Source organism: Homo sapiens, chromosome 7 (genome assembly GCF_000001405.40).
Source record: "Homo sapiens chromosome 7, GRCh38.p14 Primary Assembly".
NCBI lineage: Eukaryota > Metazoa > Chordata > Mammalia > Primates > Hominidae > Homo > Homo sapiens.
This window is the reverse complement of record NC_000007.14, coordinates 65,110,180-65,124,507: the sequence shown is the minus strand read 5'-3', so window position 1 is coordinate 65,124,507 and position 14,328 is coordinate 65,110,180. Positions and strand designations below refer to the sequence as shown.

The following is a 14,328-nucleotide window of genomic DNA, read 5'->3' as shown; positions in this document are numbered from 1 at the left end:
CTCAAGGCTCTATCTCAGGCCCTCTGCAATTTCCACCCCACATACTTTCTGAATCTGTCTCACCAAGTCCCATTAATATACTAGTGAGGCCCCAATTCTCTGTCTCAGCAAGACCTTGTATTCTTAGCTTCAGACTCACATAACCAACTAACCTTTCCCAGACATCTGCAGCTGTATATCTCATAGGCTCCTTAAACTCAGTATATCCCACAAAATTCATCATCCTCCTTCCCCCTCTTCCCCAATCATTCATTATATCAGGAATGCTCTTTCAATCAATGACCGAATTTCCCATGCCAAGAATCAAGGCATCATCCTTGATTTGTCCTCTCCTTAAACATCCAATTAATTGCCAAGCCCTACATATATCCCTAAAATGTCTTTTTATTAATATATCCATCTACTTCTGTCCATTCCTAGTACAGTGCAACCATCATAGGCTGGGCCACTATCATTTCTGGAAAATTACTGTAGTATCTCATGGGTCTCCCTTCCTCCAGTGTTATGCCTCACCAATACATTATCCATACTACAGCCAGAATAATCTTTCTAAGATGGTGATTCTATTATTCTGCTTAATACCTTCTGGTGCCCATTCATTGACTTTCAAAACATTTTTCAACTGCCTCTTGACACATATAAAGTCTTATATGATCTGTCCCTTGCCTAGGTCTCTATCCTTACTCTCTTACTATCCCCCTCTCCTAGTCTCTACAACTGCCATCCTTTCTCTTGCCCACTGCTCTTTGTGCCACCCTCTGGTTAAAATAATACTACTACTGATAACCTCTTTTTCTTAATTCTGCTCATATTTTAGTCTCAACTTCAATGACACCCATCTTCGCCCTTAGGCTACATCAGTTCTCCCTGCTATATGCTGGCTATTCAGTTAACATAACACATTGCATTGCAGGAACTGTGCTAAATTATTCACCTTCCCAATTAGACTATAAGCCCCATGAGGACAATAACCATTTTCGTTTTGCTCACGAACATGTCCTTGACATCTAATAGCTAGTGCTTGACAAAGAGCAGAAAATAAGCTGAATTTAATTCTTTCATTTATTCCACAAATATTTTAAGGAAGCCTATTTGTGCCAGATGCCACCCAAGGCACTGAGATGCAGCTGTGAATGAAACAAAATCTCTTCCTACATAAAGCTCATGTTCTTGCAGGGTAAAAAAAAAAAAAAAAAAACCCTAATAAGGTAATAATTTTTTAGAAAATGCAAAAAGCCGCAGCGGGCGAAAAGCCGCGGCAGCGGGGGGCCAAAAGCCGCGACGGGCAGAAAGCCGCGGCGGCAAAAAGGCGCGGCGGCGGGGGCAAAAAGCCGCGGCGGCGGGGACCAAAACGCCGCGGCGGCGGAGGCAAAAAGCTGCAAAAGCCGCGGTGTGGGGGCAGAAAGCCGCAGCGGGAGAAAGCCGCGGCTGTGGGGGCAAAAAGCCATGGCGGCGGGGGCAAAATAGTGGAAATGGGGTAGAAGGCCGGCACGGCTTGGCATTGCTGGAGTGTGATGTGATAGGAAAAGTGCAGCCGAAGACAAAAAAAGATGTAAGTAGGCTTGACTCAGTGCAGCTAAGAACCCAGATGTTATCTTGAGGGTATTAACTAATAAGCAGTTTAAATCCGAATGGCACATTCTGATTTGTTTTTTGTATGTTCACATTTGGCAGGCATAGATACTGTTTGAAGAGAGGAAAGTCAGTAGATAGAGGTAACAAACTTAAACATGTGCCAAGTCTAGAAACAAGAGACTAGGGGAATAAAGACCTTTCAAAATAAAATGCAAGATTTGAAAACTGATTGGCTAGGGGATGAGGAAAAGGCAGGTCTTTAAGGTCAATCCCTGTTTTGCTTTAAGTTGTTAGGGGGTGGTTTTATCACAAATTGTAGAATATGTCATTTCAGTTTTGAACATCTTGAGTTAAATTGTCCTAACATATCTTATGAATTTGATTGTCTTCCCTGGGAAGCTGATATTTCAAAAACTTTAAGAGTATAGATTTCCAACTTGTGTCCAATTTATAAAATTATCTCTAGGCTGCTGGTTTCAGGAGGTTGTTCATGAATATACTATTTGCAGAGAATATATCAGGAGTTAACAACAGCCTCGATATTTGTGGAGGACCAGTTAACTAAGCCACCTCTTAGTGTATTTAGTTGGGAAATCTTAGCTGAAGATATTCAGTAATGAACCGACAGTGACTAAAAAATTCAATATTTAAGTATATTTCATTGTAATTAATTTGAATTTAAGTAGCCATATACAGCTAGTATTTACTACATTGAACAATGCAAATAAGAGGAAAAAATTAATAACCATCTCTAATACCACATGCCAAAATCCTCATAGATTTATTCTAGCTAAAGGAGTTTATCAGAAGCAGCAATTGAAAGTACCAACTAAACCAGCTAGGGTTAATTCACTGTCATTCTCTCAGAACCATCTCTTCTCTGAACAAAACAAGTACAAGAGTTAATTGTGAATCTGCATTTTCCTTGCCTATTTTAAGGTTTGGATGTTGACACTAACTTGTGAAATCCCTCTTGCGGTGTGATATTTCGTTTTCCTTGCTTTTTGTTAGGACAAGAATGCTTCAGCTCTTAATTTAAAATTATGTTTGTCCCTCCTAGGTTGAGTGAACTTAGAATGCATTCTCTGACATATCCAAGTTTTTGTTAATATGGATCTGGGGAAAAAAGCATACTTAATTAGCTAAGACTTCTTATTCTAGGCTTGACCCTGTGTTCGACATCTTTTGAATTTGTAGTTGCATAGGCTGCTCTCTGACACTGGTTAGTGATCTGGAAGTTATATTAACGTCAGGGGAGGTGGTGTATGAGCATTAGAGGTATCCTTGCAAGGAAAGACTTGTCTTATCTCAATACGTCTTTTTTTTGCACACAAGAAAGTCAATGTTTGAGTCTTCTAAAATCTTCCTATTTCCAAGTTGCAGAGTACTATTGATTCCTAAACAAAGATCTAATTTTTGACTCAGAGACGTGGCAAGGTAGTGAATCACCATTATAATTTAACAATCTTCAAGATAAAATTATCTCTCTGATATTTAGATTTTGCCCGATTATTAAGATATTTGGGTGTTTCGTTAAGAATGGAAGACTCTAGTCTCTTGAGCAAAGACTATAAAGCCCTCAGACGATCATTTATAATTTTATGCTCTTTTCTTTTACACCTTCAACACAGTTGGAAGCAGCAAATATTCCCTAGAGTTGTTGTGTTTTTTAAACCAAATGCATGGTTCAGTGGTAGAAAACTGGGCTGATCCAAGCTGTTTTCAGTAAACACTTCATTTCAGGTGACCTATTTCATGTGAAATAATCTCTAGATCCTGTCTTCAAAACTAACTAGATCAGATAACCTACCCTAGATTTTCCCCTTTTAGGGTCTGTTAGCTGCAGTCACTTTTGTGAAAATGATTGCAGTGAAAAGATAGAGTTGTAGATGGGGAAAATGTTTTGACTAATTTAAGCATAGTGGTATTTAATATGAGAATTTAAGTTACACATATTTGAAAATTACAATGGAGTCTCTTGGCTGAGCTTTAAAAAAAAATAGCGTTTAGGCTAAAAAGGGAACTGCTACCTCTCCTAAAATCAGAAAGATGTTACAGTAATTCTCCATTCTCTAGAATTATCAGGAAGCACCTTTGTGATGATTTACTTTTGCTCTTAGGAGTGTGAGCCTGTGTAGTCGTGGAACCATCAATTAGAATGATGGCTTTCTGATCCCAAAGTCATTCATTCTGAAAACAATATTTTTCATAAAATTGAAAGTGAGAAGTTTTGATCTTGCCATTCCCAAGTAACTCTCTTAATAAGAGGCATCAGCATGCTTCAGTGACAGATGTCACCTTCCAGTGCTGAGAGTCATCTTTGAGTTCTCCATTTCACTCCCTACACTCCAATTTAGCTGCAGTTCTCTTGGCCAGTCCTATGAAATACATCCTGGCCTAACGACTTCTCACCACTAATACCACTCATACTCACAGCATTCTCACCTAAGTCACTACCTTTTTTCTCTGGATTACAATAGCCTCCCAATTTATTTGCTCACATAACCATTTATTCTACACAGTGCACCAGATACACCCCTTTGAAATGCAAACACAATCATGTTATTCTCTGGTGAAATTATCTCATACATTCCTATCGCATTTAAAATTAATTCAGAATCATCCCATGATTATCAAAACCCTACATGCTCTTCCACAACATGGTTTACTTCCAAGATATCTCTTCAAATTTTTTTTCACTGTACTGAATTGGTGACTAATAGTCATATTTTTGTTTTTGTTCAAAAAGTCTTGACTTGTAAATTTTTCAGTTTCTTCTTTATCCACAGGTAACTCTTTCCTCACAAGGTGAATTGCTTGCTTCCTTGAGTTCTGCTCTCAAAGATACCCTTCATTTTCTACCTAATATTAATAACTGTAATCACTCATTATTCCATTACTATGCTCTATAGTGTATACAACTGTTCTTTGTCATGTCATTAACTAAATTATTTATTTGTTCCAGTAATGTATTCCATAAATATTGTACACCTAAAAATTATGCTATTTTTACTGCTGTATGCTCAGCTGCCCAATAACAGTTTGAGGATTAACATATTTGTTAAATGCACAAATACATTCTTTCAGAAGTGTTAGTTGAATAATTTTATATTAAACTCCCTATATACGTACAATATGAATTAGAGAATTCAGAATAAACATTCCATTGGAAAAAACTAAACAATTTGTTATAAAACATCCTTAAAAGCATCAGAAAGTTAATACAGCAATGAAGAATTACAGGACCAAATTAAGAATGGTATGGAAGCCTGTTTGTGAGGCTTATGTTTGGGTTATCTCTTTACTTAGAATGACTATAAATCTCAAAAGAGAACTAAAGGGAGAAATAACCATATCTACTAACATGGTAAGGGTATTTAAACATCTCTTAGTAATTGGGAAAGTTGAAAGAAAAGAAAAAAGAGAAAGGGAGAAAGAAACAGAGCGAAAGGGATAATGAAGGAGAGAAGAAGAGAAAGGAAGAGGAAGAAAAGTAAAAAGAGGAGGGGGAGGGAGGAAGAAAGAAAGGTGGAAAGAAAGAATGGTAAAGTTTTTAACATAATGTATCCTTCTGGAATATGAATGTTGGTCTATTTGATGGTGTCCCACAGATTCCTTAGTCTCTGCTCATTTTTTATTTTTTATTCTTTCTGTTTCTCAGAGTCAGTATTTTCCATTTTCTTATCTTCAAGTTCATGACTTCTTCTGCGTGTGCAAATGTACTCTTAAATCCCTCTGTTGATTTTTTAATTTTTATCATTGTAGTTTTCCACTCAGGAATTTCTGTTATCTCTTTGTTGATATTCCTACTTTTTAATATTTTTTCTAATTCCTTTATTTCTCTGTTTATGTTTTCTTTTTGACATTTGAGTATAATTAAGAGAGTTGTTTAAAAGTCTTTGTGTAGTAAGTTTGATGTCTGGGTTTCCTTAGAGATATTTTCTGTCAACTTATTTTGTTCCTTTGAATGAGCCATACTTTCCCATTCTTTGTATGCCTTGTAACTTTTTTTGAAAACTGGACATTATAATAATTATAATTACTATGTGGTTACTCTGGGCAGACCCCCCCCTACAAACACACTAATGTTTTGTGGTTCTAAATTTTATTTACTTATTATATTGTTAAAGTTTCTATTTTTAGTGAAATTTTCCAAAGTGATTTACAAAACTGTTTGCTTTATAAGGTGCGGTCACCGAAGTCTTTTTGTTTCCTTAACAAATGTTAAGCTAATGTTTTGACAGTGATTTTCTTGTATGTCAGGAACTAAGCAAACAGGCAAATACAACAAAAACAAAAAGAAAAACAAGTAATCATTAGCCAGCAAAATATGTCTCTAGGCCATGCAGACTGGCTTTGTGCTGGGTTCTTTAAAGCCGGCACAAAGTGTATGTTCACTCTTGCACTGAGTGAAGTTCAAGTTCACTCTTGCACAGAGCTTGCACTGAGGGGAGGAATCGGCCAAGGTAAAAGTGTAGGCTCTTCTTATGACATTTGTCATCATGTGGCTTAACCTATGCATACATGTGACTTTCTAGACTCTCCCATGTACGTGAATGATTTTGAATGTCTTAGTTTTCCAAATACTCTTCTCCAACTTTTCTTCCTGTGCCGAAGGTGATCTACTATATGTGTAAACTCTAATTTTTGCCCTAAGCGTCTGTGGTTTGTTAGGTCTCCTTGCTGAGTTTCTTAATAATGTCCATTCCTTATCTGTTCTGTATTCTAGCAACACAGAAAAAAAAAAAAAAGCCTTTCACTAGTCCTTCAGGTATCCCCCAGACCAGTCAGAACAGACACATAATAATTTGCGGGTAAGATCTTCTCTTGTTCCTTTGGGCGATGGACCAGGCTTCCTCACTGGGAACGTGGGCTTCTGACACTTCAGAACTGCCAATTTGCTGGGGCAAAGGCAAGTTAAAAATGTCGTAAAGTTTTCCAGTTGTCTTTTCCTTGAGTCTGCTTTCACTTGGTTGTTGTAATCTTTTGACCATTTTCCAGAGTTTTGGCAAAGTTTATTCGGACAGTTTCTCTTAGTTGTGTGATGTTTCTGTGGGGAAATGAAAGATTGCAGCTGTCTCCACTGCCATTTTGCTGATGCTCCTCTTTTGTGAATTTTTGCTTCATGTTCTTATGCTTTGTTATTAGTTCATGTATTAGTTTTCTAGGGCTGCCATAACCAAGTAACACAAACTGGGTGCCTTGAACAACATACATTTATTGCCTTATAGTCCTGGAAGCTAAAAGTCTGAGATTGAGGTGTCGGCAGGGATGGTCCCTTCAAGGGCTACGAGAGAAAGTCTGTTCTATGCCTTGTTTCTAGCTTCTGGTGGTTTTGTGGCAGTCTTTGGCATTCCTTGGCTAACCTCTGCCCTCATAATCACATGGAACTCTCCCTGTGTGTATGTCTCCCTCTACTCAAATTTCTTCTTTTTATAAGGACATCAGTCATATTGAATTCAGGCTCATCTCATATTATCTTAACTTGATCACCTGCAAGGAACCTATTTCCTAATGAGGTCATATTCAGTGGTTAGGATTTCAGCATCTGTATAGAGGAAACAATTTAGCTCAAATCTGTGCATACATGATTGTAATAGCTATGTCTTCCTAAAGCGTTGACCCCCTTATTCCTACAATAAAAATTTTAAAAATCCTATTCACATTTTTAATAGTCTATATTGTGTTATGAGTATAATGAGTTCAGTGTTTTTACGATTGCTCTTTGCATATTTTTTGTCATCTTTTTACTTTCAATCCATTAGTATCCTTGCATCTCAGCGTATATTGGGATCACTTGTTTTAATCCAGTCTGACAATCTCTGCCTGTTGATTGGATTTTAATCTGCTCACATTTAATATTATAATTGGTATAATTCTATTTGTCTGCCATTTTACTATTTGTTTTGTATATTTCTCAAATATTTTTCTTTATTGCTTTATTTTGCAATGAATGAATATTTTCTAAAATAGGGAACTTTAGATTACTAACGAAATATTTTACTATATATTTTTGAGAATTTTTGTTGTTGTTGTAAGTTTACCATGTAGGTATATGGAAAATTAATTACTCAAATCATCTTCCAATTTATACTAGTAAACTTTTAGTAATACATAGAAACATCATTCTTATACAAATCTCTTTTATTTCCTCCATTTGAAAGTATTATCACTTTACACATTACATCTATTAAAGTTACAAAGCCAACAATACATTTTAGTAATTATCACTTTACCATCTAGAGTGATTATCTTATCACGATACATTTTTCTTCCAACCACCTCCTTTTTGATGTTACTGGGAAATATGTTATAGACATATTACATTTCTACATGTCAAATACTCAGCAATACATTATGCACATATTATTATTATTATTATCATTGAGACGGAGTCTCCCTCTGTCACCCAGGCTGGAGTGCAGTGGCACTCCAGTGCCACTCCAGTGAGCTCCGCTCACTGCAAGCTGCATCCCCCGGCTTCATGCCATTCTTCTGCTTCAGCCTCCTGAGTAGCTGGGACTACAGGCGCCCGCCATCACGCCCGGCTAATTTTTTGTATTTTTAGTAGAGACGGGGTTTCACTGTGTTAGCCAGGATGGTCTCGATCTCCTGGCCTCGTAATACACCCGCCTCAGCCTCCCAAAGTGCTGAGATTACAGGCGTGAGCCATCGTACCCGGCCATTATACACATATTATTTTATAAACAATTTATGATAAAGAGAAAACATGCATTTCTACTGTCTTTTATAATGTTAATATTACCTATACCAGTGCTTTTTTAAAAATGTGGATTCAAATGACTGTCTTGTGTAACTTGCTTTTAGCCTTAGGAATTTATTTTGGTGTTTTTGGTTTTTTTTTTTTTTTTGGTATGATAGGTCTGGCAGCAACAACTTCAGTTAATATTTCTGTTTATCTGGCAAAGTCTTTGTGTTATCTTCATTTTTGAAAAATAATTGCTGGATAAGGAATTGGTGGCTGACAGTTTTTTTTCCTTTGCATCTTTTGAATATATTATTCTACTGCCTCTTGCCTTCCATTGTTTCTGTTAAGTCAGCTGTTAATCTTACAAAACATAGGTGCTCAAATAACAAACATGTGCATGAATATTTACAGCAGTAATAATCATACAGTCAAAAAGTGGAAACAATCCATATGCTTGTTGACTCATAAATGGACACCCAATTTTTAGCTATAACAAAGAAAGAAGTACTTATACATGGTATAATGTGGGTGAAATTTGAAAGCATTAAGTGCACAAAAAGACAAATATTACCTGATTTTATTCAGATGAAACATCAGGAATTGGCAAATCAATTGGGATATAAATCAGATTAGTGGTCATTAGGGCTCAGGGAAGCAGAATAGGGTGTAACAACTTTATGGATAATGGGTTTTTAGAAGGGACATGATGAAATTGTCCTGGAACATTGTGAATATACTAAAAGCAACTGCATTGTATGCTTTAAAATGGTTGTTATTAATTTTATACTATGTGATTTTTACCTTAAAAAACAAAAAAAAAAGAAAATAGCCTTACTCTATACATAATAAACTCAAGATGTGTTACAAATTTATATGTGAAATCCAAAATACTATAATATTTAAGGAATAGCTCAGTAGAATAACACTAAAATTTAATGTAATGAAATATTACCTTAAAAAAGAAAAAAGCACAGTAATTAAAAAGGGAAATATAGTTAATCTTTTTTCTCTCCACTAAGCATGCCATTAACTGAGGAAAAAATCCAGCTGCAATTATGTAAACTACATTTTCTAAAACCATAAAGAAAATAAGAAATGAAAAGGGATTTGGGAAAAAAATCCAAAGGTACAGTCAACTACACAAAAAAAGCTTAGTCTCATTAATCATTATGGAAATGCAAATTGTAACTGAAATAAGATAAAACTACAATTCAAAGAGAAAGCCTAAAATTTCAACCCCCCAAAAATTCTGGGTTTTGGAGAGCTGGGATGGAATAGGGCTCCTAACCTTACAACAATGAAAGAACCCAACTAACTTCAAAGTCATGACTTTATTTTTATAGCAACCAGGTTGCCAAGAACTGAGTCAAAATGTGAGGGAAAACAAGCACCTGCAAGGAGAAAGAGGACAGATGCACTTACATAGGACAGATGCAAATAGACACCACTATGACAAGTAAAGCTGGAATAATCAATAAATTCCTGAAGACAAAGTGGGGCCGGTCAGATTGGGAGACCGCTGACAGCTGCAGAAGTTGGGAAAGATCCATCATCTTGAAAACTTTTCCCCCCAAACCCACTGTGATCTCTCAAGCAATTGGTAAGGAATCCAAGAGAGTCTGTATATGATACAGATCAGGGAGAGCAGAACACTTGGGAGGTGACCAGGTCTTGGGGGCCGAGCCCTTATGAATGGGATTAGTGCCTTTATAAAAGAAGCTCAATGGAGTTCTTGTGTGCCTTCCACTATGTGAGGACATAGAAAGAAGGCACCATCTATGAACCATGAAATGGGCTCTCATCAACACTGAATTTGTGAGCATCTTGACCTGAGATCTTACAGCCTCAAGAAGTGTGAAAAAAGAAATATCTGTTGTTTTTTAGTCACCCAGTTCATGTTATTTTGTTATAAGAGTCCAAATAGACCAAGATATTCCACTTAATATATAGGGGAAGGCAACAAAAACTGCCACACTTAGAATACTCCTGATGCTGGGAGTATGAAAACAGGAAAAACAAAACTGCTCTTGAAGGTGAAGGAGGAATACCACTGAGCTCACCAACACAGCCAGGAAAAGAACAGAAGTGTGAGAAGGCCACATTCCTGGGACCCTGAGAAAAAGTACCTGCATAAGACTGAGATGAAATTACCTACCCTAGTTACAATTGAAATCCCAAAAAGAAAAGAGGAAAAAATAACGGAGCAAAAGAAATATTTTTCAAAATAACTGCCAAAAATATTCTAAAAGAAGTGACAGAAAATCAAACTTCAGATATAGGAAACTCAGAGAATGTCAAATAGAACAAAAATAAATAAGAATTACATCTTGAAAAATCTTTAAAAAATCAAGTCTAAATTTTATATCTTGCTCCAAATATATAGAGATATAAATAGGTTATCATCAAGATATGGAGAAAGCCATATCATGGAAACACTAAAATAAAGCTGTGGAAAGACTACATTGATATTAGACACAACAGAGTTCAGAACAAGAAATAGTATCAGAGATGAGAGATAATAGATAATAGAATAATCAATTCTCAAGAAGATGTAAACATCCTACTAATTAGGGTACGCAGCTAACAACAGAACCTCCAAATACATGAGGCAAAACAGGAAGGAAATCAAAGGCGAACTAGAAAAATCCAAAATTATATTTGCAGACTTCAACACTTTTGTCTTAGTAATGGACAGACTAGGCACAAACTCAGTAATCATATGGAAGATAAGAACAACAATATCACCAACAAGACATCCAATCTTCAATGGCAGATACTCTTTCAAGTGAAAAAAAAAAAAACAGTATGGCATATTCTCTAACAAACCCAGAATTTCTAATATTTGCGGTCTTCCTTCCTTCTTTCCATCTTCCTTTCTCTTCTCTTCCCTTCCCTTGCCTTCCTTCCTTTCTTCTTTTCCTCTTCCTTTTCTTTTCCTTTTTCTTTTCCTCTTTCTTTTCTCCTTCCTTCCTTTTCTCTTATTCTTCCTTCCCTCCTCCCTCCCTTCCTTTCTCCCTCCCTTTTCTTCCTTCTTTTCTCTTATTCTTTCTTTCTCACTTTCTTGTTTTCTTTCCTTTTCTCCTTTCCTCCCTCCCTCCTTTTATTCCTTCCTCGCTCCCTTCCTTTCCTCCTTTTTCCTTCCTTCCTTCTATTTATTTTCTTTGTTTCTTTGCCTTCCTCCCTTTTCCCATTCTCTCTTCCTCCTTTCCTTCCTCCCTTCCTTTCTTTCTCACTTTCTCTTCTTTCTTTCTCTTTCTTTCTTGTGTTCTTGCTTTCTTTTTAGTCCCTTCCTGCCTTTCTCCCTTCCTCCTTCCCTCCCTTCCTTCTCTCATTTCCTCCTTCTTTTCTTTCTTTCTTTCCTTCCTTCCTTCTTTTTTCTTTCTTTTCTTTTCTTTCTTTCTCTTTACTACAATTCATATTATTTAAAAAAAATTAAGAGGGGGAGGCAGAAAAATAAAGAACACTTTAATCTGCAGGTAAATAGATTATGTCTGCTGCAGACAAAAGAATGGCCTCCCAAAAATGTTCATGTCCTAATTCCCAGAGTCTAACATACAAATATGTTAGGTTGCATGGCAGTGGGAAATTAGATTTCAAGTGAAATTAAGGTTGCAATAAAATGATGGAGAGATTATCTTAAATGGGTGGGATCAACGAAATCACAAGCTTCCTTATAAGTGAGAGAAGAAGGCAGAAGAAAGGCAACCATGGAGGTCGCAGCATGAGAAATTACTCAACATCACTGACTTTTAAGATACAAGAATGAGGACCCAGCGCGGTGGCTCATGCCTAATCCCAGCACTTTGGGAGGCTGGGGTGGATGGATCACGAGGTCAGGAGATTGAGACCATCCTGGATAACATGGTGAAACCCCATCCCTACTAAAAATACAAAAAATTAACTGAACATGGTGGCACGTGCCTGTAGTCCAAGCTACTCAGGAAGCTGAGGCAGGAGAATCACTTGAGCCTGGGAGGCAGAGGTTGCAGTGAGCTGAGATTGTGCCACTGCACTCCAGCCTGGGTGACGGAAGGAGACTCCATCTCAAAAAAAAAAAAAGATATAAGAATGAAGTCATGTTCCAAGGAATAAAGGTGGCCTCTGGATGCTGAAAAATATCAAGTACATAGATTCTGCCACATAGCCCTCAGAAAGACTGCAGCCCTGCCCAAAACTTGATGTTAGCCCTGTGAGTCTCAGTTAAGGCTCTGACCTCCAGAACTGCAGGCTTAACAGTCAATTTATTGTAAGATATGAAGTTTGTGGTACTTTGTTACAGCAGCAAGAGGAAGTTTATATAGTAATTGTATCATGAAAATGAGAACCATAATTTACAACTGCTTTTAATACTGCACTTGGATGTTTGAAATCACATACATGGAAATGATCTCTATCTGAATGAGGGAGGATAGCAAATTGATGCCAAAATAACGCAAATGCAAATCTTTCATTTCTATGTAGGTTTCATTTAATCTTTGAAATTAAAATGAAATTAAAGGATTATGATATTTTGATGAAATTAGACTAAAATGAACAATAACAAAATAAGAACTTACTTATATTCTTTATATGGTCAATAAAGAAGTGATAGTGGAAAAAAACAAGATCAAATGAAGGTGATGATTTAGGAAGTTGGAAAGTTAGCTTAAACTACAAAATGTTATATAACTGGTGAACACTTAGACACACTGATTTATGAACTTCAGCTTTTGGCTTGGTGAGAGCATAAAATGAGAGCAGCTGAGGTTTGCAAATTTGTAATCTCCTTGTGGAAAAACAGGGGAAAACACATCTCAGCCTAATAAGATTTATCTACTAAAGAGTCAAGAATTTATCCATTTGTCCTTGTAATTCAAAAGCTAATTCAAATCCTGATTTGATGTATTGTGTGAACAACCATTGCTGATTATCATCGCATACCTGGCATTCTCTTTTATCTGACATCTAAAATACTTGGTAATTTCTGGACTTTCTCTTTTCAAACCCAGTATGGTTTAATTTCAATTTTAGAACAGTTGTCTTTGAGAAATTCTTCCCTCTACTGCATCTGTAAATGGCCATAGCATGGTTACATATATACTGTCGCCCCAGAGAACATTTGTTAAATTAAAACCAAAGTTTAAAGCAACAGCTTTAACTCACTGGTTTTACTAATGTTTTCCTCCCCAATAGCCACAACAATATTTATACCCTCACACCTTTTAACATAAAGCTTGGTGTTTACTTTTCAGGTGCTGTCATCTATATGATCTCAGTATTTTAAAAATCAGCTTCCAGCCCATATGGTGGCTCATGCTTGTAATACCAGCAGTTGAAGAGGCTGAAATGAGAGGATTCTTTGCACCCAGGAGTTCAAGAGCAACCTGGGCAACGCAGCAAGACCCAGTCTCTATCAAAAGTTAAAAAAAAAAGGTCGGCATGGTGATGTGCACCTGTTGTCCTAGCTATTTGGGAGGCCAAGGTGGAAGGATTGCTTGAGCTTGGGAGGTTGAGGCTGCAGTGAGCAGTGATTGCACCACTGCACTCCAGCCTGGGCAACAAAGCAAGACCCTATCTCAAAAAATATATATAATAAAAATAAAAATCAGCTCTCATTGATTTCTGCATAAATATGCACAGGTGATGTCCATATAGACATAAATAATAATATATCTGACAACGGGCCCATATGATCTTAAAATGTAAAATGCCTATCTGTGTAATTGACTGGTTAGTCTCATTAATGAATATAGATTCAATTCTACTTTCTTGTTCTACATAAATTATATAATCTAGCTTTTCGTTTCACTTATTTACTGATAACAACATGAAGAATGACAAGATATCTATTTTGGAAAATTACTCTGGTAGGAGAAAAGATGAAACAATGATAGAATTGCATGGAAAACTAGAAAAAAGTATGGTCTTCTGATATTCTATCACATCATATACTAAAGGCCTCATAAAACTCAGATATTTTATCTAAAAATGTTATTTTCATCTTAGGAATGATCAAAGCATGAGACTAGAATTGTATTACAATGTGCTTGTATCACAAGCACATG

At 36.5% G+C, this 14,328-nt stretch overlaps 1 long non-coding RNA gene across 1 annotated transcript; it reads left to right on the top strand.

The window, feature by feature from the left end:
• The first annotated feature begins 1,485 nt into the window (after nucleotides 1-1,485).
• On the top strand, nucleotides 1,486-13,878 carry LOC124901662 (uncharacterized). The gene is made up of 2 exons (XR_007060368.1): nucleotides 1,486-1,552; nucleotides 13,516-13,878. It is a non-coding gene; the product is annotated as an uncharacterized LOC124901662 (long non-coding RNA).
• The last annotated feature ends 450 nt before the right edge of the window (nucleotides 13,879-14,328 follow it).